The sequence below is a fragment of the Homo sapiens genome, chromosome 21, assembly GCF_000001405.40.
Source record: "Homo sapiens chromosome 21, GRCh38.p14 Primary Assembly".
Lineage (NCBI taxonomy): Eukaryota > Metazoa > Chordata > Mammalia > Primates > Hominidae > Homo > Homo sapiens.
The window spans coordinates 43,110,822-43,138,362 of record NC_000021.9 but is presented as its reverse complement, the minus strand read 5'-3'; the positions used below and the strand labels follow the sequence as shown (position 1 = coordinate 43,138,362).

The window sequence follows — 27,541 nt, the reverse complement described above, 5'->3', positions numbered from 1 at the left end:
GAGGCAGGAGAATCACTTGAGCCCAGGAGTGCAAGTTGCAATGAGCTGAGATCGCACCACTGCACTCCAGCCTAGGCGATAGAACAAGATTCTGTCTCAAAAAAAAAAAAAAAAGACAGTCACAAAAGAACAAATGATTGCACTTGTTTGAGTTTCTTAGAGGAGTCATATGCATAGAGACGGACAATAGAATGGTAGGTGTCAGGGGCTGAGGGAAGGAGAACAGGCAGTTAGTGTTTAACGGGGACAGAGTTTTGATTTTGCAAGACAAAAAAGAGTTCTGGAGGTTGGTGGTAGTGATGGTTGCACAACAATGCAAATGTACTTAATATCACTGAACTGTACACTTATTAGTAAAATGGTTAAAATGGTGAATTTTATGTTACGTGTATTTTACCATTAAAAAATGAAGAAATTTCTTTGCTATTGTGGCACACACACAAAAAGAAATTCTTTGTTTTCGTATCTCCTTCCTTCTAGAGATATGGAAATATCTCCAACTTATTACATAAAAATAACATGGAGAACAACGTATGTATGGTGTGCTAACATTTATGCCAAAACAGGAAATACATATGCAATTGCTTGTAACTACATAAAATATCTCTAGGGCCCGCATGAAACTGGTCACACTGGCTGCTCCTGGTGAGGTTGTAGGAGGCTGAGCACAGAGCCAGCAGGGGACTTTTTGGTTATTTTTATTTTGAACCATGAGAAGGTATTAATCACACACACAGTAAGCGAAATAAAAATGCCATTTTCGGAAAGAATAAAGCCATTTATGGAAAGCCATGAATATGGGTTGCCTGCATACAGGCAGGTGTAATGGTGGTACAGATCACCATTATTCTGCTGGAAATAAAACTGACCTATATGGACCCCAGGTGCAGACCTGTTATGAACTGAATATTTATCAAAATTAAAATGTTGAAACCCTAACCTCCTATGGTGTTAGGAGGTGAGGACTCGGAGGTAATAAGGTTATGAGGATGGGGCCCTATAATGAGGTTAGTGCCTTTATAAGAAGAGAGAAGAGAGCTTGCTCACTCTCTCTCTCTCCTCACCGTCTGAGGATACAATGAGAAGGCAGCTGTCTGCAAACCAGGAAGAGAGACCTCACTAGGAACAGCACTGACCAGCAGCTTGATCTTGAATTTCCAGGCTCCAGAACTGTGAGAAATCAATTTCTGTTGTTTAATCTGTGTATCTGTGGCATTTGTCACAGAAGTCTCAGCTGAGGGAGATAAGACCTTAAGTCTTCTTAGGGGTTTAACTATATGGTCTGATCAATTACAGATGCTGATAAAACACAAACACCTTCCTTTTTAAAACTGAGATTCACTTGCTAAATTATTTCCCTGTGAGATCTTGTGACAACCATTCATGTGTGATTACATGGAAAGAACACGAAAGTGAGAGCCAAGCCGGGCATAGTGGCTACGCCTGTAATCCCAGCACTTTGGGAGGCTGAGGGGGGCGGATCACCTGAGGTCAGGAGTTCGAGACCAGCCTGACCAATATGGTGAAACCGTGTCTCTACTAAAAACACAAAAATTAGCTGGGCGTGGTGGTGCATGCCTGTAATCCCAGCTACTCAAGAGGTTGAGACAGGAGAATTGCTTGAACCCAGGAGGCGGAGGTTGCAGTGAGCTGAGATCTCGCCATTGTACTCCAGCCTGGATGACAGAGTGAGACTCCATCTTAAAAAAAAAAAAAAGAAAAGAAAAAGAAAGAAAGAGAGAAAGAAAGAGCCATCAGAACATGAGACTCCCTGCGCTTTGGGCAGCCAGGGAGACGAGCGTCTGTCTCCCTGGGGAGGGAGAGTTTACAGCTTTCTGCAGACCATGGCAGGGGGGTTATGTTTCATGTCATGGACTCACAAAGTTGGGGGTTTCAGAAGGGACCCCAGGAATCAACTAGTGCAACTCCCATTCCACAGATCAACAAACCAAGGCCCAGATTGAGAAAGTGACCGTCTGAAGTGTCCTTAGGATGGTTTTAGGATGACATCATGCTCCATGCCACAGCCCACCTGATTTGGGCCAGGAGCCCCTCCCCAAACTCTGCCAGCCTCACCTGGCCCTGGACCCCCACCAAGTTCCGGGCACAGTGGTCTGCTCACTGCTCCTCCACATAGAGCTCATGCTCCAGCCGCCACCCCGCCCCTGCCGACCCCGGGCCTTCACTCACTCTCAACTCTACATCTTTTCAGGGTCACACTCTCAACACCACAACCACAGCTGCTTCACCATCTGGGCTGCTCAGGGCCTCCGAGTGCCACGCATTCTCTCCACAGCTCTAAGCACTATCTGAAATTAGCTCACTTCTTTTCCTTTTTTTTGTCTTCTCTCTCCCCCTGAACCTGGGGCCCCCGAGGGCAGGGGCCTGGTCTCATTTGCCCTGGTAACCCCAGTTCCTCAAGCAGCATCTGGTTCATAGGAGGTGCTCAAGAAATACGCAATGGATGAGTAAACAAAAGACTGAGTGACTGGAAGCCCCAGAACCCGGGCCCGGCAGAGCGTCATTCCATAAAGCACCGGCCTTTACAAAAGCCCGGCTGTTCATGGACTGCCATGTGTGGTGCATCTGGGTGCGGCTTCACTGCCCTGGTTGGTGGGCTGATACTGATTTTGGGGTTTTCTCCTATATCATCAGAGCACATCTCCCCTCTCACAGAGGAAGACAAATTCTTCCTTGGGTCTGTAAGACTTTTCAGACTTTTTTTTCTTTTTTTGAAACAGAGTCTCACTCCGTCACTCAGGCTGGAGTGCAGTGGTGTGATCTCAGCTCACTGCAACCTCAGCCTCCCGGGTTCAAATGATTCTCCTGCCTCAGCCTCCTGAGTGGCTGGAATTACAGGTGTGTGCCACCATACCTGGCTAATTTTTGTATTTTTAGTAGAGATGGGGTTTCACTGTGTTGGCCAGACTGGTCTCAAATTGCTGACCTCAGGTGATCTGCCCACCTCAGCCTCCCAAAATACTGGGATTATAGGCGTGAGCCACTGTGCCCTGCCTGTAAGACTTTGTAATACTTAATACTAAGTTATGTGTGCCACCAGCATGTACACATAATCATTTTCTTCTCCTTTAAGTAAAAAATGAGAAAGAACAGACACGTGGTACAGGGTCTGAGACAGAAAACCACTCTGGCCAGCAGCAGCATCGAAGGCACAAAGCAACCTTTGGTTCTGCCAGGAGGCTGTTCCTCCGCCACTGAGAGAGCCCATACCCGCATCCCAGCGGCTCCAGACGCCAGCTTCTGCCAGCTCTCAGGAATGTTTTGCTCCTGATCCACTTCTGCGTCTACTTCCTGATGCACTGGCTCCAGCCCAGCCGACATGCACGGCAGCAGAGAGATGGCTGTCACATCGGCTGCTCAAGCAGTCAGGGGCCAAGTGGAATCCTGGCACTGGGGAGAACGTTCACCACAGCGATGGAGCTAGTCTGTGATTCCGCTTGAAAAGCCACCTGCTAGGCGGTTTGTCTGCTCTCAGCCGGGCACCCTCACGCACCTGCAGTGGCGACAGGTGGGTCTTGTTGCTGTGGGCTGTCCCGATGCAATGGGCTGTAGCTGTCCCAATGCACTGAACTCTGTGCTCCAGCGGGCTGGCCCAGACACAGTGCAGCAGCTGGCAGAGCTGAGAGAAGAAGTGTGCAGTCCCCTGGCAGCCTCAGCTCAGGGCTGGCCTACAGTCACGTCTGCCACACCACTGCTCAAAGCCACTCTCCTGGATGTGCCACACTCAAACAGGAGAAACAGACGCCACCTCTTCAGATGAAGAGCTGCAAAGTCATCGATTTAAAGAGCAGCAAACTCATATCCTCATTTCTTTCTTTCTTTTTGAGACAGGGTCTTGCTCTGTTGCCCAGGCTGGACTAGAACTCCTGAGCTCAAGTAATCCTCCTGTTCACAGACCAAACTGAAGGTAGACCACCTATGCTCATGTCCCAGTGACAAGATGCAGATGAACTAGGAGAGAAGGGAGTTTTTATTTCTGTAACCAGTTACAGAGAGAAGGCCTGGAAATTATCACCAGACCAACTTAAAATGACAGCGTTTTCCAGAGCTTCTATACCTTCTCAGCTGTGTGTCTACGTGTGAGTGTGCATCCATCTAAAGACATAAGTGATTAACTTCTAATCCATAACTAAGATCTGAGTCCAGAAGACCTTCCTCCGGAGCCTCAGTGAATTTAATTAACCTAGCTGGGTCCAGGTGCTGGGGTGAAAACCCGGATCTGGCCTCCTGCTAAGTCATGGAGGTTTGGGGAGTTCCTTTAGTCTCCAGTAAAGCCTGTTTGTGGAGGCCTGGGGAGTTTCTTCAGACCCCCAATAAAATTTGTTTAATCCTAAATGGGTCCTGTTAAGAATTCCTTTGTTATCTCTTCATGCTTTAAAGCCCAGGAAAGGCCTGGGCAAAACTCTTGGTGGGCTTTTGTTACATTCCAGCCTTTGTATAAGGGCGCTGGCTCTTTCAGCTTTTAATATTTAACTTTACCACTTGGTCAGTACTGAAACAGTTGTTATGGAGGCCTGTGTTAGTGAGACCTGGCCTGCCACACCCCCACCTCAGCCTTGCAAGTAGCTGGGACCGTAGGTGTGTATGACCACAACCGGCTACGAAGTCCTATTTCTAAGGTGCATGGAAACAGTGAAGGGAAAATTAAGGCTATTTTCGCAAACAAAACATTCAAACAGGCCGGGCGCGGTGGCTCACGCCTGTAATCCCAGCACTTAGGAAGGCCGAGGCGGGTGGATCATGAGGTCAGGAGATCGAGACCATCCTGGCTAACAAGGTGAAACCCCGTCTCTACTAAAAATACAAAAAATTAGCCGGGCGCGGTGGCGGGCGCCTGTAGTCCCAGCTACTCGGGAGGCTGAGGCAGGAGAATGGCGTGAACCCGGGAAGCGGAGCTTGCAGTGAGCCGAGATTGCGCCACTGCAGTCCGCAGTCCGGCCTGGGCGACGGAGCGAGACTCCGTCTCAAAAAAAAAAAAAAAAAAAAAAAAAAAATTCAAACAAACCATTTACAGCAGAATAAACAAATAAAAGCAAGTACTATAGATTGCATAGCCCTCATCAGGGGTCTGAGGCAGGACTCCAAAGGCAAATATACTGATATTTCTGCAGCCAAATTCATCATGGTAAGTGGAACAAATATCCCATAAACAGGATTACAGCTTGCTTCCAGCTGATTTATATAGTAATACAGTAGTTCATGAAATAGCAAGATAACCACATACCATAAATTTTCTAGTACTTCTTACTCCCAAAGACAATGTTCACTAAAGCTTCAAACACAGGTTCAAGTGAAGCCAAATGTCTGTGAAAGAAAAAAAGTCGTTTAAAAGCAAATAAAATTTCAGGACCCTCTAAATTTATTATGTCAAAGGGGATGTTAAGCCCTGGAGACTGAGTCAGTAGCATATTTGCAAATTCTGCTTCTTAGATTACAGCTTAACTCTCTTCCCCAGGGTCCTTGTTCTGGACATGACTAGGAGAAACATGAAGAACTGCAAAGTTATTGATGTTCTGAAACGCTGCAAAGTCATATTGTCATATTTCTTTCTTTTTGAGACAGGGTCTTGCTGTGTTGTTCAGGCTGGATTGGAACTCCTGAGCTCGACTGGGCACAGTGGCTCACACCTGTAATCCCAGCACTTTGGGAGGCTGAGGCGGGTGGATCACTTGAGGTCAGGAGGTCAAGACCAGCCTGACCAACATGGTGAAACCCCGTCTCTACTAAAAATACAAAAATTAGGCAGGCGTGGTGGCAAGTACCTGTAATCCCAGCTCCTCAGGAGGCTGAGGGAAGAGAATCACTTGAACCTGGGAAGTGGAGGTTGCATTGAGCCAAGATCGCGCCATTGCACTCCAGCCAGGGTGACAGAGCGAGACTCGTCTCAAAAAAAAAGAACTCCTGAGCTCAAGTAATCCTCCTGCCTCAGTCTCCCAGAGACCAGATCTCCTCCTTCCCATCACTGATCTCTGTTACAGATTAGCTGCCTCCTTTATTGTCCTGTACCCAACTCAGATCAGATGGCGCAAAGACCTCATGACGGTTGCATCTTCAGTGGGGAAGATTAAATACACCTTTCTTCTTCTTCTTCTTCTTTTTTTTTTTTTTTGAGACAGAGTCTGGCTCTGTTGTCCAGGCTGGAGTGCAGTGGTGTGATCTTGGCTCACTGCAACCTCCGCCTCCCGGGTTCAAGCAATTCTCCTGCCTCAGCCTCCCGAGTAGCTGGGGTTATAGGTGCCTGCCACCACGCCCAGCTAATTTTTGCATTTTTAGTAGAGACAGGGTTTCACCATGTTAGCCATGCTGGTCTTGAACTCCTGCCCTCAGGTGATCTGCCCACCTTGGCCTCCCAAAGTGCTAGGATTACAGGCATGAGCCACTATGCCTGGCCAAATACACCTTTCTTGAAAGAAAAAGACCACCTCGACTAATCAGACCATTGTAACTATGCATTAAAGCCTAAAGATGTTGAAATTCTGGTAAGCTTCCATAAACTTTATCTATATACATGGTCCCAAACTTCTATACTTCAGAACACTGACTTCCATTCTTTGGAATCTGTGCTTCCTGGATGGCTGGACTTAAACCTTGCACTTGAATAAACTCTCCTTAAACTAGATTCTGGCCCTTTTGACTATTTTAGATTGACACCTGTATGCATACATGTAATGAATCAGGCTACATCTGGCTGCTTGGGGGTCTTGGGAAAGGGAGCACAGCAGTGATACATTGCTGAGGTCATGGGGCTGGAGGCAGCATGGAGGATGGATTGAAGAGTCTCTGAAGTCCTGGGGCAGCACCGTGTCAATGGGCTTCTCGGCACTTCCTCCCACAACACCAGTGCCACACCTAAGCATCTCTCTAATTCAGGGGTCCTCCTGCTCACTGATAAATGTCCTTGAAGCCAGCAGTTAGCAGGCCACAGATATTGCCAGATAGTCTGTGGGGACTCCCCAGGGTCCACATCTCCCCGACATTTCCCCTCCCATTGTCACTGGTATTCAGTCGATTCCAGCAATTTCTCCATCATGCGAGGCAGGCACAATAGGTGCCCCATTTCTAGGTTCAGCATCTCTTCTCTGTGACTTTCTCCTGACTCCACTTTTGGTTGATAAACTTTGAGGGTCAATAATGCGGTTTGCTATCACCTTCTTCTGCCATAGATGGGCTTTATCTCCAGGTTCGGTTTCAAGAATTGTTTTAGGTCAAAGTGCTCGTGCAGTTGTGAAAGGAAAATCTCTTGGGCCCCCAAAATCACGAAGCTAAAGGGAAAAGTCAAACTGGGAGCTGCTTATAGCAAACCTGCCTCCCTTTCTACTGCAAGTCACCCCTCTGCTCACTGAGATAAATGCATATCTGATTGCTTCCTTTGGAGGGGCTCATCAGAAGCTCAAAAGAATGCGACCACTTGTCTCTTATCTACCCATGACCTGGAAGCCCCCTCCGGCTTTGAGTTCCGCTTTTGCTTTGAGTTGTCCCACCTTTCCGGACCAAACCAATGTTCATCTTACATGTGTTAACTGATGTCTCAGGTCTCCCCAAAGTGTCTAAAACCAAGCTGTGCTCCGACCACCTTGGGCACATGTTGTCAGGACCTCCTGAGGCCATGTCACGGGTACACGTCCTCAACCTTGGCAAAATAAACTTTCTAAATTAACTGAGGCCTGTCTCAAATGGTTGGGGTTCACACAGTCAACCAAGCGCACGTTAGTGGAACTGTCCATCCTGTCCGAGCATTTGTGACTGTGTGAATGGCAGCCTTGTGAGTGAACTTAGTCAGGAAGCCCTGCTTTCTGTTAATGGCAGGATTCCCCCTTCCCCCCAAAAAATCATTTATATTCACTCTTATTGGAGTGTAAAACTCCCTTCACAAATCGTGGAAAGTAAATGTCAGAAACATTGCTTTTCAAAAGACTTTCAGGAAAGGAATGTGTGGAGCAGCTGTGCAGAAATAACAAAATGTTCGTTTTTCTTCCAGACCAGCTTATCTGCAGTGAATTCCTGGCACTGATACAAAGGATTATTAAACCATGCAGAAAACATGGCTCGAGTTCCCAGTATATGTTCCCTTGCATACTAGCATACACCGTTCACACCAGTGGCTTTTTCCAACCACAACTAGCTTTGGCCAGCATCATCTCGTGCCTTTCCTCCTGGACGCCTGTTGTGACTCTCCGCAACCATCCTGCCTGTCTAGAAAGGAGCACAGGTGAAGCTGCCTGACTCATCAGCTACACAAACTTGTTCTGACTTAGGTTTTGTTGTTTTTTGGCTTTCAGACAGGGTCTCTCTCTGTCACCCAGGCTGAAGTGCAGTGGCACCATCTTGGCTCACTGCAGCCTCAACCTCCCTGGGCTCAGTGATCCTCCTACCTCAGCCTCCAGAGTAGCTGGGACTACAGGCATGCACCACCATGCTTGGCTAATTTCTGTATTTTTTGCAGAGATGGGGTTTTGCCACGTTGGCCAGACTGGTCTCAAATTCCTGGGCTCAAGCAATCCACTTGCCTTGGACTCCCAAAGTGCCGGGATCGCAGGCGTGAGCCACCGCGCCTGGTTGAGACTAAGGTTTTCAGAGGATACAAATCCATCAATGTAATTTTCAGCTGTTTCCTGATCAGGAAAGAAGCCTTTCCACCACAGCTATGCAGATTGTTTTACACCATGACACTTCTTGAATATTCATGCTCACCTTTAAAGTTCAGTTCTTCCTGCTGTATTCCAGCTTCTTTCATAACCAACAAACCACTCCTTGGCATACAGTGACTACTTCATTGCCAATTCCGTTCCATCCATTCCTGGTCAAGATCTCTCTCCCTACACCACACCCCACTGACCCTGTGTTTTCCATATTTCAATGGCTCTTGGTAATCACAATTATTATAAATTTTCAACTGTTTGTCTTTTTTTTAATAGAGAGGGGATCTTGCTATGTTGGCCAGGTTGGTCTTGAACTCTTGACCTCAAGCAATCCTCCCACCTCAGCCTCCCAAAGTGCTAGGATTATAAGCATGAGCCACCACGCACAGCCCAACTGCTTGTCTTTTGATGGCTTCCCAACATCACTGATGCTTTCTGCACTATTGACAAAGAGAGTGTTTCCATGTGTCCTTCCCACAGTGAGCACTGGGTACATGCTACCCTTTTTGTATGAATTCACAGTGCAATTAAACCCATGGTCACAAAAAGACAAATGCATTTTAAAAATTAAAACATATACATTGTCAGCAACCAGCAGAGGTGCCTGTAACAGAGGGAGTGTTGGGATGCTGCCAACACCTTGGGTCAGGTCAGCTTTTGCAAATTTTGGCACCAAGTTTACAGAAAAAAAAAAAAAGTCCTTTTCATTTTCACAGCTTTTTGCTTTTTGGAATGCTGACAAGGGCCTGTGGGTCTGTTCCATCATGGAATCAGGATGAAAAGACAGAATTGGAGTCCTCAAAGCAACCCCAGTCTAGTAGGACAGAGATGTCAACACCGCATTAGAGCATCATTCAACAAGGGCAGTTTCTGATGCCTCATGGGCACCTACTAAGTGCCAAGCTTCGTCCACTCCTCAAAGGCAGGTTGGCTGATCCTATTAGCCAATGGAAACCCTGAGTCTAGAGAACTTCATAATGCAGGTCATGCAGCAGGAAGTGGCAAAGCAGGATAGCAGATCCAGGTCTGTTCAACCTTTGCAGGTAAGGAGGGGAAGCTGTTGAGAACCCAAAATGCATTGCACATCTGGGAGGGGGATGACTCCAAGGAGGCCTCAAGGGCCAAACTGGAATGCTGGGAAGGAGGGAGTGGGCATGGGTCCTGGAAGAACACACTGTGCACAGGCAGGAGGCTCCCACGACCAAGAGCTGAAAGTTGCCCGGCACATTCCAGGGACTGGGAGCCATGGAGGGTTCCCAGTAAGAAACAGCAGGATCGAATCTGTATTTCCCACAGAGCCCTCTGGCAGAAGGACAAATGGTCACCTAGAAAAGGAGGAAACAGCATAGATACTGCTGTAGTGATCCAGGTACACTCAGGAATGGCCAAGAGGAGGAAAAGGAGCAGACATGGTTGAGAGAAGCCAAGGAATTAGAATGGATGTGAATCAGACAACTTAGGGCAACCCAGGTGGGCTCAGGCTATAGATGACTGGCATTTACTAAATGCTTGAACAGAACGTCAAGAGATGGGAGGAGAAGGATAAAATGAAGTCAGCTGGAGATATGTTGAGCTGAGGTGCCTGGCACACTTCTAAGTGGAGATCTGTCTTCCGAATTTGTGTCTGTGCACCTGCCACAGTATCTGACACATCAGACATGCCCCCCAAAATATAAGATGGATGGACGGACAGATGGATGGATGGATAGATGGATGAATGACTCAGTGGGATGGATAGATGGATGGATGAATGGATGAATAAATGGGTGGGTGAAAGGACAGATGGATGGATGGATGGATGTCTGGGTGAGTGGATGGATGGATGGATGGATGGACGGACTAACAGACAAATGGGTGGATGGCTAGATGAGCGGATTGGTGGGTGAAAGGACAGACATATGAATGAACAGATGAAGGGAGGAATGAATTCTCGACTTTAAATAATGAGATTTAGAAAATATGATTAAGTACAAAGTTTATTCAAGCCCAAAGCTTAAGGATGGCCACCTGGGAGCCTAGATTCAAGTTCCCCTGAATAGATGCTCCAATTAGCAGCAGTGGGTTCTTTTTTTTTTTTTTTTTTTGAGACAGGGTCTCACTCTGTCACCCAGTCTGGAGTGCAGTGGTGTGATCACAGCTTACTGCAGCCTCAACCTCCCAGATTCAAGCAATCCTCTCTCCTCAGCCTGCCTCAGTAGCTGGGACCACAGGCACATGCCCTTATGCTTGGATAATTTTTTAAAATTTTTTATAAAGACAGGCTCTCACTATGTTGTCTCAAACAAAAACAAAACAAAAAGCCCCACTCTCCTGTCTCTCTGGGCCTGATAACTTTGGCACACCTCACATAGCTCAGACTGCTCTGTGCTATTTTTTTCCCCATTTCTCCCCTTTTCATCAAGACCTTTCAAAGAAGGCCTCATAGAAAAATGCAAATTGTTTTGGCTCCCTTTATGTTCAGGAGCTTAGTCCTGAGTTGCTAGGAAGGTTAATTATCAGATGGCCTTGTCCCATGTAGGGGAGGGGAGATGTATTAAGCCATTCTTGCATTGCTATAGAGAAATAACCAGCTGGCTGCACTGGCTCGCGCCTGTAATCACAACACTTTGGGAGGCCGAGGTGGGCAGATGGCTTGAGCCCAGGAGTTTGAGACCAGCCTGGGCAGCATGACAAAACCTCACCTTTACTAAAAATTCAAAAAAAATTAGCCAGGCATGGTGGTACATGCCTGTAGTCTCAGTCACTCGGGAGGCTGAGGTGGGAGAATCACCTGAGCCTCGGGAGGAGAAGGCTGCCGTGAGCCATGATCATGCCACTGTACTCTAGCCTGGGTGACAGAGTAAGAACCTATCTTGCATGAAAATAAATAAATAAGTAAATAAATAAATAAATAAAAATAAGAAATACCTGAGATTGGGTAATATATAAGAAAAGAGGTTTAATTGGCACATGGTTCTGCAGGCTTTACAGGAAGTATGGTGCTGGCATCTGTTCAGCTTCTAGGAAGGCCTTAGGAAGCTGACAATCAGGGCAAAAGGTAAAGGGAGAGTGGGCATGTCACAAAGGGAAAGCAGGAACAAGAGAGAAAGAGGGAGAGAGTGGCAGGTGAGGTGCCACACACTTTTAAAAGACCAGATCTCATGAGAACTCACTATCACGAGGACAGCACCAAAGGGAGGGTGCTAAGCCATTCGTGAGAAATCCACCACCGTGAGCCAACCACCTCCACCAGGCCCCACCTCCAATGTTGGGGATTATATTTCAATATCAGATTTGGGTGAGGACAAATATCCAAATTATATCAGGGAAGGATACCTCTCAGTGAGGAATCTGAAGAAAGCCAAAAGCCAAATTGGGATGGCATCACAGGGTGGCAAAAATGAGACCTCAGCCAAGTCATCAATTTATATAACTGCTGTTGCCTGTTGAATCATCTCTAGTCTTCAGAATACCATGAATTTGGTTTTCTTAGGGGAAGTAAAACAATGAGAGATACAGCTGGGCGTGGTGGCTCATGCCTGCAATCCCGGCACTTTGGGAGGCTGAGGCAGGTGGATCACTTGAGGTCAGGAGTTTGAGACCAGCCTGGCCAACATGGTGAAACCCCGTCTCTACTAAAAATACAAAAAATTAGCCGGGCATGGTGGCAAGCACCTGTAATCCCAGCTACTCTGGAGGCTGAGGCAGGAGAATCACTTGAACCCAGGAGGCAGAGATTGCAGTGAGCTAAGATCAAGCCATTGCACTCCAGCCTGGGCAACAAGAGTGAAACTCCATCTCAAAAAAAAAAAAAAAAAGAGAGAGAGAGAGATACATAGTAGAAATATAATACACATAAGAATTATAATCAGAAAGAAATGTGTATGCCAGAACAGAAGAAAACAATTCAATTTATGAGTGAACTAAAAACATCATAAAGAAAATTAAAACCCAGACCTTCTTTAAAGACTTGTTGTAGCCAGGAAATAATTAAGGATTGCAGGAAAATAACAAAAACTCAGAAACAATCATCAGGGCTGGAATCTATCAATAGGTATAAAATCGTTTTCTTCTGAAACATAATTTTTCTCTCTCAGATTCCCCATTTCTACCAAAGATAAATCTTAGTGGGACCAAGTTACTTGTAAAATAAGTTTTAGCATTATATTCAGCTTCATTATTTGCATAAAGTGGAACAAGAATAATGACTGATCATAAAGGTTCTTTTCAAGTTGGCTTTGAAGGAATTTTCATAGAGAATTTCAGATTAGACTTTTTAATCTGAGGCTTTAAAAAGCCAAAGATTCATCTTCAGATTGTGCCTGTAACACCTGCATGAACTGGGTGAGTTCCTCTTTTCTCAAGGCCCCAAAATATTTGAGGTTCCTGGGCCTGTCAGAAAGGGACATTATTTACTTACCTCAAGATCAGGAACCTTGTAAGGGAACTGTATAGATAAGGTACATGGCCACTCTTTCCAGGTAGCTTTTTATTGACTCTATAAAGCCAACCTGAATTCCTCAGAGCAGTCTGGTCATATCTGAAAATATGCCATTCCAGTCAAAGCCTTGCTAGAATAACCAGTGCCTTCAATTGTGTTCTGTTAACAAAGGAAAAAAATTTTTTACTAAAATTATGCAAATAATTATATTACAATAAAATAAGAATACTCATTCATAGTTTCTGAATTCTGGAGAAATCAGGTAGAAAGATAAATGCTTCAATTTTGCTCACAAAAATATATTTTACCCAATTGCTATAAGCTCTAAACAGATTTTTTTTTTTAAAGTTTTTGGCCAGGTACTGTGGCTCACGCCTGTAATCCCAGCACTTTGGGAGGCCAAGGAGGGTGGATCACTTGATGTCAGGAGTTCGAGACCAGCCTGGCCAACATGGTGAAACCCCGTCTCTACTAAAGGCATGGTGGCGCACACCTATAATCCCAGCTATTCAGGAGGCTGAGGCAGAAGAATCGCTTGAACCCGGGAGGCGGAGGTTGCAGTGAGCCGAGATTGCACCACTGCACTACAGCCTGGGCAACAAGAGCGAAACTCCATCTCAAAAAAAAAAAAACAAAAGTTTTCTTAACTCTCGAAAACAAAACAAAAAGAGTTAGCAATGTTTCAACAAAAAAGTCATAAAAATAATTTCAGTCCGGTGTAATTAATTATTGTAATGCCTGATGCTGGATTAGAAATCTTCATGAATGCATCAGTTTTTCATTAGTGTTGTGGAAGTTTTTACCTAGTCCAATGGTATGATCTCTAAGTTTATTAGAAACCTGTATTCAAGAGTACTTCTCAGTGTCCTTTCCATGAATTTCCTTGAAGAAAAGATAAACTTTGGACTGCAGCTGATTGTAAACCACTTTTTTTCTTTTCTTTTTTCTTTTCTTTTTTTTTTTTTTTTGAGATAGAGTCTCCCTCTGTTTCCCAGGCTGGAGTGCAGCAGTGTGATCTCAGCTCACTGCAATCTCCACCTCCAGGGTTCAAGCGATTCTCCTGCCTCAGCCTCCCAAGTAGCTGGGACCACAGCTGTGAATCCATCTGGTCCTGGACTTTTTTTGGTTGGTAGACTATTAATTATTGCCTCAATTTCAGAGCCTGTTATTGGTCTATTCAGGGATTCAACTTCTTCCTGGTGTAGTCTTGGGAGGGTGTATGTGTCCAGGAATTTATCTATTTCTTCTAGATTTTCTAGTTTTATTGTGTAGAGGTGTTCATAGTATTCTCTGATGGTAGTTTGTATTTCTGTGGGATTGGTGGTGATATCCCCTTTATCATCTTTTATTGCGTCTATCTGATTCTTCTCTCTTTTCTTCTTTATTAGTCTTGCTAGCGGTCTATCAATTTTGTTGATCTATTCAAAAAACCAGCTCCTGGATTCATTGATTTTTTGAAGGGTTTTTTGTGTCTCTATCTCCTTCAGTTCTGCTCTGATCTTAGTTATTTCTTGTCTTCTGCTAGCTTTTAAATGTGTTTGCTCTTGCTTCTCTAGTTCTTTTAGTTGTGATGTTAGGGTGTCAATTTTAGAACTTTCCTGCTTTCTCTTGTGGGTATTTAGTGCTGTCCAGCTTTGTTCCATTGCTGGTGAGGAGCTGCATTCCTTTGGAGGGGGAGAGGCGCTCTGATTTTTAGAATCTTCAGCTTTTCTGCTCTGTTTTTTCCCCATCTTTGTGGTTTTATCTACCTTTGGTCTTTGATGATGGTGATGTACAGATGGGGTTTTGGTGTGGATGTCCTTTCTGTTTGTTAGTTTTCCTTCTAACAGTCAGGACCCTCAGCTGCAAGTCTGTTGGAGTTTGCTGGAGGTCCACTCCAGACCCTGTTTGCCTGGGTATCAGCAGCAGAGGCTGCAGAACAGTGAATATTGCTGAACAGCAAATGTTGCTGCCTGATCGTTCCTCTGGAAGCTTCGTCTCAGAGGGGTACCCGGCCATGTGAGGTGTCAGTCTGCCCCTTCTGGAGGGTGCCTCCCAGTTAGGCTACTTGGGGGTCAGGGACCCACTTGAGGAGGCAGTCTGTCCGTTCTCAGATCTCAAACTCCGTGCTGGGAGAACCACTGCTCTCTCCCATTCTGGCTAAATGAATGACTTATTTTACACAGACCTGTGATCCTATTTTGATATCAAATGTTTTCTTTTTTCCTTTTTTTTTTTTTTTAGATGGAATCTCGCTCTGTCACCCAGTCTGGAGTGTAGTGGTGTGATCTCAGCTCACTACAACCTCCGCCTCCTGGATTCAAATGATTCTCCTACCTCAGCCACCCAACTAGCTGGGATTACAGGTGTGCACCATCACACCTGGGTAATTTTTGTATTTTTAGTAGAGATAGGGTTTTGCCACGTTGGTCAGGCTGGTCTTGAACTCATGACCTCAGGTGATCCACCCACCTCGGCCTCCCAAAGTGCTGTGATTATAGGCGTGAGCCACTGTGTCTGGCCATATTTTGATATCAAATGTTTTAAACCTTTGATATTTGACATACTTCCCAAAATCAATTTTTTTTTTGTTTTTTGAGATAGGGTCTCACTCTTTTACTCAGGCTGGAGTGGCACAGTCATGGCTCACTGTAACCTCTCCCTCCTGGGCTCAAGCAGTACTCCCACCTCAGCCTCTAGAGCAGCTGAGACTACAGATGCACGCCACCACACTCAGCTTAATTTTTAAATTCTTTTTTTAGAGATGAGGCTTGATCATATTGTCCAGGCTGATCTTGAACTCCTGGGCTCAAGCGATCTGCCTTCCTTGGCTTCCCAATGTGCTGGGATTACCAGTGTGAGCCACTGTACCCAGCCAAAAATCAAATTTCAAATTCTAAAATTAAGTCTTTTTGACCTGAACTAATGTGGACATAACCTGGACATAACAAATAGAAACTCCTGGAAATCCAAATAGTAGGCTTACTCGGTATGTTAGAATCATACAGGAAGCATTGTCAAATAAACAATAGCGTTTAACTTTCTTTGAGTTATATGTGTATCACACAAGTATAAATGTGTGATTAATATTTGTTCCAAAATCATATGAGATTTCTAAAATTTTGATATGTCCTGGTATATGTTATCAGTCATAATTATGATTATGATGTTACATTGTTAGATGCCACAGAAATAACCAATTTTCCTTGTCACAGGCATCTTTAACTATGGCTACTATAAGTCTTTTGTCATCCGTAGACAATTACTGTTTTACTTTGATTCTTTTCGAAAAGTGGTTTACGGCCTGGCATGGTGGCTCACACCTGTAATCCCAGCACTTTGGGAGGTCGAGGCTGGTAGATCACCTGAGGTCAGGAGTTTGAGGCCAGCCTGGCCAACGTGGTGAAACCCCGTCTCTACTAAAAATACAAAAATTAGCCGGATGTGGTGGTGGGCACCTGTAGTCCCAGCTGAATGCTACCAGAGGTACAAGGAGGAGCTGGTACCATTCCTTCTGAAACTATTCCAATCAACAGAAAAAGAGGGAGTCCTCCCTAACTCATTTTATGAGGCCAGCATCATCCTGATACCAAAGGCTGGCAGAGACACAACAAAAAAAGAGAATTTTAGACTAATATCCCTGATGAACACTGATGCAAAAATCCTCAGTAAAATACTGCCAAACCGAATCCAGCAGCACATCAAAAAGCTTATCCACCATGATTAAGTGGGCTTCATCCCTGGGATGCAAGGCTGGTTCAATATACGCAAATCAATAAACATATAATGTTTATTGATTTAACATTATATATTAAATCAGCATATAAACAGAACTAAAGACGAAAACCACATGATTATCTCAATAGATGCAGAAAAGGCCTTGACAAAATTCAACAGCCCTTCATGCTAAAAACTCTCAATAAATTAGGTATTGATGGGACATATCTCAAAATAATAAGAGCTATTTATGACAAACCCACAGCCAATACCATACTGAATGGGCAAAAACTGGAAGCATTCCCTTTGAAAACCGGCACAAGACAGGGATGCCCTCTCTCACCACTCCTATTCAATGTAGTGTTGGAAGTTCTGGCCAAGGCAATTAGGCAGGAGAAGGAAATAAAGGGTATTCAATTAGGAAAAGAGGAAGTCAAATTGTCCCTGTTTGCAGATGGCATGATTGTATATTTAGAAAACCCCATTGTCTCAGCCCAAAATCTCCTTAAGCTGATAAGCAACTTCAGCAAAGTCTCAGGATACAAAATCAATGTGCAAAAATCACAAGCATTCTTGTACACCAATAACAGACAGAGAGCCAAATCATGAGTGAACTCCCATTCACAATTGCTTCAAAGAGAATAAAATACCTAGGAATCCAACTTACAAGAGATGTGAAGGACCTCTTCAAGGAGAACTACAAACCACTGCTCAAAGAAATAAAAGAGGACACAAACAAATGGAAGAACATTCCATGCTCATGCATAGGAAGAATCAATATCGTGAAAATGGCCATACTGCCCAAGGTAATTTATAGATTCAATGCCATCCCCATCAAGCTACCAATGACTTTCTTCACAGAATTGGAAAAAACTACTTTAAAGTTTATATGGAACCAAAAAAGAACCCACATTGCCAAGACAATCCTAAGCCAAAAGAACAAAGCTGGAGGCATCACACTACCTGACTTCAAACTATACTACAAGGCTACAGTAACCAAAACAGCATGGTACTGGTACCAAAACAGAGATATAGACAAATGGAATAGAACAGAGCCCTCAGAAACAATACCACACATCTACAACCATCTGATCTTCGACAAACCTGACAAAAACAAGAAATGGGGAAAGGATTCCCTATTTAATAAATGGTGCTGGGAAAACTGGCTAGCCATATGTAGAAAGCTGAAACTGGATCCCTTCCTTACACCTTATACAAAAATTAATTCGAGATGGATTAAAGACTTAAATGTTAGACCTAAAACCATAAAAACCCTAGAAGAAAACCTAGGCAATACCATTCAGGACATAGGCATGGGCAAGGACTTCATGTCTAAAACACCAAAAGCAATGGCAACAAAAGCCAAAATTGACAAATGGGATCTAATTAAACTAAAGAGCTTCTGCACAGCAAAAGAGACTACCATCAGAGTGAACAGGCAACCTACAGAATGGGAGAAAATTTTTGCAATCTACTCATCTGACAAAGGGCTAATATCCAGAATCTACAAAGAACTCAAACAAACTTACAAGAAAAAAACAAACAACCCCATCAAAAAGTGGGCAAAGGATATGAACAGACACTTCTCAAAAGAAGACATTTATGCAGCCAACAGACACATGAAAAAATGCTTATCATCACTGGCCATCAGAGAAATGCAAATCAAAACCATAATGAGATACCATCTCACACCAGTTAGAATGGCGATCATTAAAAAGTCAGGAAACAACAGGTGCTGGAGAGGATGTGGAGAAATAGGAACACTTTTACACTGTTGGTGGAACTGTAAACTAGTTCAACCATTGTAGAAGTCAGTGTGGTGATTCCTCAAGGATCTAGAACTAGAAATACCATTTGACCCAGCCATCTCATTACTGGGTATATACCCAAAGGATTATAAATCAGGCTGCTATAAAGACACATGCACACGCATGTTTATTGCGGCACTATTCACAATAGCAAAGACTTGTGTCTAAATGTCAATCAATGATAGACTGGATTAAGAAAATGTGGCACATATATACCATGGAATACTATGCAGCCATAAAAAAGGATGAGTTCATGTCCTTTGTAGGGACATGGATGAAGCTGGAAACCATCATTCTCAGCAAACTATCGCAAGGACAAAAAACCAAACACCGCATGTTCTCACTCATGGGGGGAATTGAACAATGAGAACACTTGGACACAGGAAGGGGAACATCACACACCGGGGCCTGTTGTGGGGTGAGGGGAGTGGGGAGGGATAGCATTAGGAGATATACCTAATGTAAATGACGAGTTAATGGGTGCAGCACACCAACATGGCACATGTATACATATGTAACAAATCTGCACATTGTGCACATGTACCCTAGAACTTAAAGTATAATAAAAAAAATAAATAAAGATTTCAAAGAGCAACTCTTTTACTCTAAAATAGAGCAGAGACTCAGTTCCCAATCAAGAGACATAATAAAGATAGCATGAGGCAAATTCTCCCAGCCCCCTTTTTTTGCAGTTTATTCAAAAGGTAAACAAATCTTTTACTTTTTTTTTTTTAGATAGAGTCTCGCTCTGTTGCCCAGATTGGAGTGCAGTGGCACAATTTCAGCTCACTGCAACCTCCACCTCCCGAGTTCAAGCGATTTTCCTGCCTCAGCCTCCCAAGTAGCTGAGATTACAGGCATATACCACCACACCTGGCTAATTTTTGTATTTTTAGTAGAGACAGGGTTTCACCATGTTGGTCATGCTGGTCTTGAACTGCTGACCTCAAGTGATCCACCCACCTTGGCCTCCCAGTGTGCTGGGATTACAGGCATAAGCCACCACACCCAGCTTACTATCTCTTCTTAACACAACATGAAATTCTTATTCAACAGAGAAAACAAGATTTAACTTTTATATTAGTGTATTATCAATCGTCCATTCTCAGGCAGCTTTGACCATACAAAGTAAGATTCCCAAAAACCTTTTATAAACTCTTACAATTTTCTTTTTCCTAATTTTTAAAATAACAGTGATAGGGTCTCACTATCCTACCCAGGCTGGTCTCAATCTCATGGCCTCAAAGTGCTAGAATTACAAGGATGAACAACCATGCCCGGCCCAACTCTTACAATTTTCTATTAAAGAGCACACCAATACTCCAAGAAAACCTACTGTTCAGACACAGGGGCCCAGACTCTGGCCTAGCATCACTGTGCTTTTTTTTTTAGACTCAGTCTCCCTCTGTCACCCAGGCTGGAGTGCAGTAGCGCGATCTTGGCTCACTGCAAGCTCCGCCTCCCAGGTTCACGCCATTCTCCTGCCTCAGTCTCCTGAGTAGCTGGGACTACAGGCGCCTGCCACCACGCCTGGCTAATTTTTCTTTGTATTTTTAGTAGAGATGGGGTTTCGCCATGTTAGCCAGGATGATCTCGATCTCCTGACCTCATGATCCACCCACCTTCGCCTCCCAAAGTGCTGGGATTACAGGTGTGAGCCACTGCACCCAGCCAAGCAGTCCCTTCTTTAAGCCAATTAATTATAGCTTTTTCATATATTTTGGTAGTGAAATATCACATACACATGACACATATAAACATATAGACATACAGACAGAAGCAGATCTTATAGTTTTTATAAAGAATCTTCTCTCCAATTCCCCATTTCTACCAAAGAGAAATCTTAGCAAGACCAACTAACTTGTAAAGTAAGTTTTAGCATTAATACTTAACCTGATTATGCTCTCAAATAGTTTTTATTTCCCCCTTTTACATGATCCCTAAGCAACTGTTAGCTAGGCAACACTAAATTGGCACTTCTAAAGGGATGACTGAGGTGAAACAAAGTAGAAAAAATTCACATCTCAAAAGCACAGAGCTGAATTCAAACCAAGGAAGAAGGGTGTAGGTAAAAGCCTAGTTGTGGGCGGCAAACCACCTACGTGCCGAGGCAAGAGACCGAGGGCACGAGCTTTTCCAGTATAATAAAATATATAAAACAACAAGAGTTATACTAGATCTAGATCATAGACATGATTATATATGAAAATCATTAATCATTAGTTTGTAGCAATTACTCTTTATTCCAATATTACAATAATCCTCGCTCTACAATCATAACCTAGGAAAAACCAGGCCATACAGACACAGGAGCTGAGGGGACATAGTGAGAAGTGACCAGAAGACAAGCATGCGAGCCTTCTGTTATGCCCGGACAGGGCCACCAGAGGGCTCCTTGGTCTAGCAGTAACGCCAGCGTCTGGGAAGACGCCTGTTGTCAAGCGGACCATGGTCTAGCAGTAGCGTCAGTGTCAAGGAAAAACACCGGCTACTTAGCAGACCGGGAAAGGGAGTCTCCCTTTCCCCATGGGAGTTCAGAGAAGACTCTACTCCTCCATCTCTTGTGGAGGGCCTCAGGCCCACCTTCAGTTATCCGAAGGCATACCATCTCCCTGTGACGCTGTGCTTCAGTGGTCACACTCCTAGTCCGCCTTGATGTTCCATCCTGTACACCTGGCTCTGCCTTCTAGATAGCAGTAGCAAATTAGTGAAAGTACTAAAAGTCTCTGATATGCAGAAATAATGGCGCAAGCTGTCTCTCTCTCTCCCCCTCTCTGCCTCGGCTGCCAGGCAGGGAAGGGCCCCCTGTCCAGTGGATACGTGACCCACGTGACCCTACCTATCACTGGAGATGATTCACACTCTTTACCCTGCCCCTTTTGCTTTGTATCCAATAAATAACAACGCAGCCAGACATTCGGGGCCATTACCGGTCTCCGCATCTTGGTGTTAGTGGTCCCCCAGGCCCACCTGTCTTTCCTTTTATCTCTTTGTCTTGTGTCTTTATTTCTACAATCTCTCGTCTCTGCACATGGGGAGAAAAACCCACCGATCCTGTGGGGCTGGTCCCTACACCTAGTGAAGACGAGGTTGCCAGGAAAAGTATTTCCACCGAAGGCAAGGTCTGTGATGTAAACTGTAAGACAGTGTCTTCAGCCAATGTCTTCCCCATCTTCAGTTTCTAGCAGTTTGGGTGCAGGGAGGGAGACACCCTTACAAATGGAGATTTCCTTCATATATATAAATTTTTTTTACAAAGAGTTTCAAAATAGCCAGCTAAATGCTAGAAAGCCATATTTTGGATATCAAAGTTACACAAGGGTCTGCATTAGTTAGGGTTCTCCAGAGGGGCAGAACTAACAGAATAGACATATATATGAAAGGGAGTATATTAGGGAGAACTAGTTCACACCATCACAGGGTGAAGTCCCATGATACACCGTCTGCAAGCTGCAGAAGAAGGAAGCCAGGAGTGGCTCAGTCGGAGTCCAAAAGCCTCAAAAGTAGGGAAGCCAACAGTGCAGGCTTCAATCTGTGGCTGAAGGCCCGAGAGTCCCAAGCAAACCACTGGCTTAAGTCCAAGAGTCCAAAGGCCAAAGAACCTGGAGTCTGATGTCCAAGGGCAGGGGGAACGGAGGAGGCATCCAGCACAGGAGAAAGATGAAAGTGAAACTGCCTCTGCAAAAATTACAACTGAGGAAATGATGACAGTGAAAGAGATCAGACCTACCTGACTCCATCTTGCTTCTAACCTTTAGGCTGTCTTTGTTCATGCCTGGGCACAGGCCAACTAACCTTGGGAAGGAATTTAGCTTATAGTTTGACTCTGAAACAAAATTGATAATAGCCATTTCCCAGAAAGATCCCCTTCTTGCCTAGGAACCAGTCTGCCTTTGTAGGAGTAACAAATTAGCTACAAGATTAGAAATTTTAAGGCCCAAGGTGGCTGCCTTCACGTTAGTACCCGTGTGAAGTCGACAGGGACGGTTCCTGTTGTCTTCTTGAAGGCCACATCTGGTCCTCATTCTTGGGCTTATTTGGTGTGCTGTTGAAGGGGCAGACTAGAGAAATGGCAGGGAGCCTCTTATGTAGGGCAGGTAGGCGCCTGTGGGACTAGGTGTGGCATGCAGAAGCTTCTTTCTTGGTATTCCTAGATTGATTGGTATAAGGCTCCTACCCCCCAAAGTAGTTGATCCTTGGAACGAAAGGATGGCCATGTTCAGAGTGTATGACAACATCAGGATCCTGGGAAACTTTGAAAAGCACCCCAAAAGCTGATCAGGGACCCCATATGGCTTCGAGATTGGAAGGGGAATGAATTGCAACGCTGTATGCTAAAGAAGAAAATGGTTGGAAACAGAATGTTTGCTGATGAGCTGCACAACCTCAATAAACGCATCAGCTGTCTCTACAAACACTTTAACTGACATGGGAAATATCGATAGAAGAGAAAGCTGAGAACTTCAGAAAAGGCTCATCTGTCACCCTGGAGAAGGGAAGCTGTACTTTTCCTTATGAGGAAACGGCTTTGTATGCTCTCTGTAATAAAATGGGGCTTCTTTGAAAAAAAAAAAAAGAAATTTTGATTTAAAGGTCATCCAGCCTCTGGCTGTCCAAACCTCCCGAAATTGCTCCTGGGGATAACATCACCATTGTAATCCGAAGATCAGTGCTTGAGGTATTTATTCTGCAAGACCCTGTACTCTATGGATCAGCTGATACCACACAGACCGGCTATCTGGCTCAGCCAGTTCTGCCATTGTACCCAGGAACAGAAGACAGCAAGGAAACCTCACTTTGACCTCCCTGTGATTCCATCTCCAGCCAGATCAATCAGCACTCCTACTTCCTGAGCCGCCAAATTATCTTTAAAAACTCTGATCTGCAAATTCTTGGGATGTCTAATTTGAGTAATAATAAAACTCCAGTCGCCCGCACAGGTAGCTCTGTGTAAATTACTCGTTCTGCATTGCAATTCCCCTGTCCTGATAAATCCGCTCCATCTAGGCAGCCGGCTAGGTGAACTCACTGGGTGGCTACAAAAGCCAGAAGACTCAGCAAGCCAGCTTCTCCCACCCTCCTCCACCTGCTTTGTTCCAGCCACACTGTCAGCCAATCGGATGGTGCCCACCCACACTGAGGGTGGGTCTTCCTCTCTCAGTCCACTGACTCCAATGTCAATTTCCTCTGGCAACACCCTCACAACACACCCAAGAACAATACTTTACCATCCTTCAATCCAATCAGGTTGACAGCTAATATTAACCATCACAGGGTCTTTTCAACTTAGCTTGTTTCTCTATTAGATTACTGACTTCAGGGTGAAGCCCTTTAATGAATAGGGCAAAGGAGGCATTCTCTATGCCTGGAATCAGCATGGATAGCTCTGAAAAGAAGCAAGCCTACTTTACCTGCTTGAGGGCCTACTTTTAACTTTTTATAAACACTTTATCCAACTTATTACATATAAAAAAAGAAAAAACTTGGCCGGGTGCGGTGGCTCATGTCTGTAATCCCAGCACTTTGGGAGGCCAAGGTGGGTGGATCACCTGAGATCAGGAGTTCAAGACCAGCCTGGCCAACATGGTGAAACTTTGTCTCTACTAAAAATACAAAATTAGCCAGGTGTGGTGGTGCATGCATGTAATCCCAGCTACTTGGGAGGCTGAGGCAGGAGGACCGCTTGAACCTGGCAGGCCGAAGTTGCAGTGAGCCGAGATCAGGCCATTACACTCCAGCCTGGGCAATGAGAGCGAAACTCCATCTCAAAAAAAAAAAACGAAATGGACATTTTCAAGTTACTCACAAAACCAGTGAGACTTAACCAAGGTAAATTAGCCAGGTGTGGTGGCATGCACCTGTCATCCCAGCTACTCGGGAGGCTAAGGCAGGAGAATTGCTTCAACCCAGGAGACAGAGGTTGCAGTGAGCCAAGATCGCACCACTGCACTCCAGCTTGGGTGACACAGCGAGACTCCATCTCAAAAACAAAGATTTAACCAAGGTAATGGCATAACGAAGGTCATGACTTAACCAAGGCTGAACCAAGCATCTCCAAAGAAATGCAAAGCAGTCTTCCTAAGCGTCAGAACCACTCTAAAGACAGCTCAGAAAAAGAAATCTTGCTGCTCACACCTGTAATCCCAGCACTTTGGGAAGCTGAGGTGGGTGGATCACTTGACGTCAGGAGTTCGAGACCAGCCTGGCCAACATGGTGAAACCCCATCTCTACTAAAAACACAAAAATTAGCCAGGCGTGGTGGTGAGCACCTGTAATCCCACCTACTTGGGAGGCTGAGGCAGAAGAATTGACTGAACCTGAGAGGTGGAGGTTGCAGTGAGCTTAGACCATGCCATTGCACTCCAGCCTGGGTGACGAGAGCGAAACTCCATCTCAAAAAAAAAAAAAAAAAAAAAAGAAGGCCAGGCGCGGTGGCTCACACCTGTAATCCCAGCACTTTGGGAGGCCGAGGCAGGCAGATCACCTGAGGTCAGGAGTTCAAGACCAGCCTGGCCAACATGGTGAAACCCTGTCTGTACTAAAAATACAAAAAATTAGCTGGGCGTGGTGGTGGGCACCTATAATCCCAGCTACTCGGGAGGCTGAGGCAGGAGAACTGCTGGAACCTGGAAGGCGGAGGCTGCACTGAGCCGAGATCATGCCACTGCACTCCAGCATGGGCAACACAGCAAGACTCCGTCTCAAAAAAAAAAAAAAAAAACAGGACTGGAAATTGAACCCAGGCTGCAAACATAGCCTCATGTTTGTAGAGACTCATAGCCTCTGGCCCACAGGCTGGAGCACTGACAAACCCTGCAGGGGCTCCAGAGCAGGCAGTTTGAGCATTTAAAGGGTTTTGACTTGTTTCAGATCTGATCTCAGCTGAACTAATTCCCTGGATGTTAGCATTTTATTTTTTTAATTTCCCTCCCTCCTTCCCTCCCTTCCTTTCTCTTTTTCTTTTTCTTTTTGGCAGCATCTCGCTCTGTCGCCCAGGCTGGAGTGCAGTGGCACCATCTCAGCTTACTGCAACCTCCACCTACTGGGTTCAAGCGATTCTCCTGCCTCAGCCTCCCGAGTAGCTGGGAATACAGGTACATGCCACCACATGTGTTTTTAGTAGAGATGGGGTTTCACCATGTTGGCCAGACTGGTCTTGAACTCCTGACCTCATGTGATCCACCAGCCTTGGCCTCCCAAAGTGTTGGGATTACAGGCTTGAGCTAACATTTCTTTTCTGGCCTATTTCTTTTATTTTTTATTTTTTATTTTTGTTGTTGTTGTTGTTTTGGGTTTTTTTGAGACGCAGTTTCCTTCTTGTCGCCCAGGCTGGAGTGCGATAGCGCCGTCTCGGCTCACTGCGACCTCTGCCTCCCGGATTCAAGTGATTCTCCTGCCTCAGTCTCCCAAGTAGCTGGGATTACAGGAGCCCGCAGCCACTCCCCGCTAATCTTTTTTTATTTTTAGTAGAGACGGGTTTTCACCCTGTTGGCCAGGCTGGTCTCGAACTCCTGACCTCAGGTGATCTGCCCAATTTGGCCTCCCAAAGTGCTGGGATTACAGGTGTGAGCCACCGCACCCAGTCTGTTCCAAATTTAAATATACTTTCCCCTTTTTGAGAGAAGGAAATGTGTGCATTGTGGAATTCCAAAAACACTGCTTAAGAGATGTATGGGAGCTGAGGGAACAGGCAGAAAGAGATGAGTTTAGATCATCCCAGAGGCAGAAGGAGAAGCAGCAGCTGGAAACAAACAGGAGAAAGCCTCCATGGTCTTTTTGTTTGTTTGTTTTTGTTTTTGTTTTGAGACAGAGTCTCACTCTGTCACCCAGGCTGGAGTACAGTGGCGCCATCTTGGCTCACTGCAACCTCCGCTTCCTGGGTTTCATGTGATTCTCTGCCTCAGCCTCCCAAGTAGCTGGGATTACAGGCGCCCGCCACCATGCCCGGCTAATTTTTGTATTTTTAATAGAGATGAGGTTTCACCATCTTGGCCAGGCTGGTCTTGAACTCCTGACCTCGTGATCCACCCACCTTGGCCTCCCAAAGTGCTGGGATTACAGGTGTGAGCCACCTCACCCAGCCTGAAACTACTTCTAAATTTTAAAAAGAACTGTGGATGGCTGGGCGTGGTGGCTCACACCTGTAATCCCAGCACTTTGGGAGGCCAAGGCTGGTGGATCACCTGAGATCAGAAGTTCGAGACCAGCCTGGCCTACATGGTGAAACCCTGTCTCTACTAAAAACACAAAACATTAGCCAGGCATGGTGGTGGGTGTCTGTAATCCCAGCTACTGGGAGGCTGAGGCAGAAGAATCGCTTGAACCCGGGAGGGGGAGGTTGCAACAAGCTGAGATCGTGCCACTGCACTCTAGCCTGGGCAACAAGAATGAAACTCTGTCTCAAAAAAAAAAAAAAAAAAATTGCGAGGCAAGGTGGGGGATGCCTGTAATCCCAGCTCAGAAGAATCGTTTGAACCTGGGAGGCAGAGGTTGCAGTGAGCCAAGATCACGCCAATGCACTCCAGCCTGGGTAACAGAGCAAGACTCTGTCTCAAAACAAACAAACAAAAGAAATAGTTTCAGATAATCTTCTGTTTTCTTCTTGCAAAGAAATGACTTCATCAGAACTTCTTTTAGAAGCTTCTAAGTATCATTGAAAAATAGCTCTCTCAGTTTTTAAATTTTAGATGCAGATTTTTCCTATTGAGTGCATAAACTAGTTACTTTAAAGGCGCCCCATTTTAGCTATTATAGTCTGGGGTCTTCACGGGTTAAGTGAGACCATGTTTCTAGATACTGACAGAAGGTGGCACCATAAGCATTGTCCACGAATCCAGCTGCCGTCTCTGCAGATGCATGTCTGCTCTAGAAGCACAAGTGTCCATAATTTAGATTTTCCTTCTGAATGACCAAAAATGCCTAAGGGGAGGAATTTTGGTCACTAAAGAAGAAAATG

At 45.0% G+C, this 27,541-nt stretch overlaps 1 long non-coding RNA gene and 1 pseudogene across 5 annotated transcripts in view, besides 1 other annotated feature; one reads left to right on the top strand and one right to left on the bottom strand.

The window, feature by feature from the left end:
* Positions 1–27,541, bottom strand: part of LOC101928369 (uncharacterized) — a 43,255-nt gene that overhangs the window by 12,582 nt on the left and 3,132 nt on the right. The window contains exons 3-5 of one of the 5 annotated variants that reach the window (XR_937768.3): positions 13,060–13,239; positions 5,246–5,325; positions 3,232–3,972 (exon numbers count right to left, since the gene is read on the bottom strand). This is a non-coding gene — a long non-coding RNA (uncharacterized LOC101928369). Of the gene's footprint in view, positions 1–3,065; positions 3,973–5,245; positions 5,326–13,059; positions 13,240–27,541 lie in introns of those variants that run through there. The other 4 variants (XR_937769.3, XR_007067884.1, XR_937770.3 and 1 more) reach the window with 4 other exon arrangements.
* Positions 20,850–21,144: a silencer, noted in NCBI's record as "tiled region #15309; HepG2 Repressive non-DNase unmatched - State 12:CtcfO". NCBI's record gives its function as "represses a minimal TATA promoter and a strong SV40 promoter by Sharpr-MPRA in HepG2 and K562 cells {active_cell/tissue: HepG2 | K562}" and the evidence as "EXISTENCE:reporter gene assay evidence [ECO:0000049][PMID:27701403]".
* Positions 22,516–23,150, top strand: MRPL51P2 (mitochondrial ribosomal protein L51 pseudogene 2; annotated as a pseudogene).